Here is a 2612-nt window from a genome sequence, read left to right as displayed (position 1 = left end):
AGAGCTTGGGTATAGGGACTCAAAAAACCTGGGCCCAAACCGTCAGACCAGTCATTCCTGCATCTGGGCCTCAGTTACTCCCCTGTAAATTAAGGATGGTTGCCCAAATTCTAAAACTCACTGAGGAATTAGGGGACTCTCACAAGAGGCCTGGATCTGGGTTAGAGTTTATCACACACACCACACACCTCATCCTGAGGAAATGGATCGAGTCTCACTCCTCAGTGCATCTCAGCAGCAGCACAGGGCCTGGCACATAGTAGGTGCTCAGTAAGCACTGGCCCAGGGAATGAATGAATGATCTCAGTGTACAGTGTGTGTTTTAGGAGCTGCTCCGAGTCCTTTTCAAAACAACTGTGGCTTGATGAACAGGTGCCTCTCACCGCATGTCCTCGTGTCACTTGTCACGCTCCTCCAGCCGTCCCTTGTTCCCTTGACTCCTCCAGTGTCCTCCCGTCTCTCCCCTCCTGCTGCCTTGTGCTGTCTCTAACATCAGGTGGGCCTAAGAAACATGGAAACAAGCAGGGGAGCTTGGGAAGAAAGTGAGAATCGACGCCTCTGAATGGGGCCAAGGGGTCTGCACTGAGTGAAAGCCCGGGAAAACACAATGCGTCTCGGGGTCTCCACACTGACCCTGATGCCGCCGGTATTGATAAGAGATCAGCCTGCGGATCTCACCCCTGCAGGGCTGACGGTGGCTGGGGAGGATCCAGGTCTGTTGACAAGGACTCGATGCTGCCCTGCTGTCACCGTGTGGACTGAATGCTGTGATTCAGCTCTTCATCTGTGATTCTGGGACTTCTTCCTGCTCCTACAAGTCTGTTTTCCTAAATAATCCAGCCTATTCAACTGTCTTCTTGCCCTAAGGCAGTGGAAACCACACGTACCTGGTCCCACCTGCAGAGGATGAACAGCCCCTCGTCACTCACCTGTGTCTGACCCTGCTGATCCTTCACTTCTCTGCCCTGTGCCCACTTCTTCCAGCTTGGATGACAGTCACGCCGCCCTAGTCAGGCCTGATGGGATTGGCCCAGGCAGGGGTGCGAGAGAGGGAGGAGGCCAGTCTAAGAGAGAGGCAGGAGCCCACCACAAGGGGCCTGGATTTCCATGGCGAGGAGCATGGACTTCATCCCATGAGCAGCGAGGACAGGCGGAGAGAGCACAACGGTCAGCTCTGTGCGGCCAAACTTAGCAGATTCCATGTCCAGGGCCCAGGAACCTGGAAGTGGCCCTGGTGGGTCCAGGGAATCAGGTGACCATGAGTTACCTTGGGGTCTATCACCTGTAGCACTCCCAGTGGTTCCAGGGCCAACATGTCTCCCCACCTTAGCTGATGGCGTTGGGCGCAGAGATGCAGTGACTGCCCCAGCCAGTCATCTGCACAGGCTCTGGCCAGCAGGGCCATTCTGACTTGGATTCCCCAACACCTTCTGCTCTCCTGTAGCAAGTCCAGCCTCAGGGGCTGCCCCAGCATGTCCCCCAGGAACAGGATCAAGGGAACTCTGCTCATTTTCATGGACAGCCAAGGACACCCCAGGCCACCTGTAAGTGGGGGAGCCATAGGTGACCCAACTCCTCTTCCATTTGCCACATTCTTCAAATTGTCCATGATCATCATCACAAATTGCCTCTGAAGATAGACGAAGAAGTTATTTTTTTAAAAAAGAGAAAGACAGCAATAGGCAGAGGTGGCTCCTATAAAATCAGATCAAATTTCCTTCTACACAATTAAACACAGGCATTTAAAATGCTGTTTCCCACAAAGCACTGGCCCCGGTTAGAAGAGATTATTTGGTAAGGAAGAGACTAGAGGTTTCTGAGAATTTAAGGAACAAAAGAATTGAGGGCTTCAGAGTCAGACAGACTTGAATTTGAGTCTCAGCCCAGCCACGTCATTGGGCAGGTTTCACTCACCTCCCAAACCTCCCTTCCTTCATTTCTAAACTGGGGATAACACCTCTCACAGGTATACAGGAGAAATGTGGGTAAAACAGTACTGTCCCTGGGATGCTGCAAACATCCAAAACACGGTTGATGCTGTTACAGACTAAATGAAGAATAAAGACACAGCAGAGTTGTCTTGGGACAGACACTTCTTGCCTTTTTGTCCCTTTGGAAATTTCCTGATGGACTGCTTGAGCCACCTAGATAATCTCTTATTCTGATAAAATAAAGCTTGACTGCAGAAAGCCTCACCATCAAAGAAGGAAGAAAAAGACACTCACACTGTGATGAGCATAAAATCCACTTCTTATAGAAGACCCTGGGATCAGTGGGGTGAAGGGCAGCCGCTCACCCATATCAGTGGTTTCTGCACCGAGGACTGGATGAGCAGTGTCTCACTGTGTTCCCACAACAGACGCAAAGGGACATCATCCTCCCACTGTACAGATGAGGAAACTGAGGTCCAGAGCAGTGATGTCATTTCAATGACAGACTTTTACTGAGTACCTACTGCGTAGGACCTAGCAGTGAATAAGACAAAGTCCCTGCTCTCCTGGAGCTGGTGTTGTGCTGGGGGGATGTGGATCATAAGAGATGAATATGTAAAACGTGTCTGACAATGATAAGTGCTAGGGAGTCAAATAAGGCTGGAAGTCTGGGCCTCGTTT

At 51.0% G+C, this 2612-nt stretch overlaps 2 annotated features.

Annotated features, from left to right (window-relative positions):
• Positions 581-1080: an enhancer, noted in NCBI's record as "H3K4me1 hESC enhancer chr1:30318501-30319000 (GRCh37/hg19 assembly coordinates)". NCBI's record gives its function as "activates a minimal SCP1, AML or CMV promoter by ChIP-STARR-seq in primed H9 embryonic stem cells {active_cell/tissue: H9 hESC(primed)}" and the evidence as "EXISTENCE:reporter gene assay evidence [ECO:0000049][PMID:30033119]".
• Positions 1081-1582: an enhancer, noted in NCBI's record as "H3K4me1 hESC enhancer chr1:30317999-30318500 (GRCh37/hg19 assembly coordinates)". NCBI's record gives its function as "activates a minimal SCP1, AML or CMV promoter by ChIP-STARR-seq in primed H9 embryonic stem cells {active_cell/tissue: H9 hESC(primed)}" and the evidence as "EXISTENCE:reporter gene assay evidence [ECO:0000049][PMID:30033119]".

Source organism: Homo sapiens, chromosome 1 (genome assembly GCF_000001405.40).
Source record: "Homo sapiens chromosome 1, GRCh38.p14 Primary Assembly".
NCBI classification, from domain to species: domain Eukaryota; kingdom Metazoa; phylum Chordata; class Mammalia; order Primates; family Hominidae; genus Homo; species Homo sapiens.
This window is presented reverse-complemented; position numbering and strand designations above follow the sequence as displayed.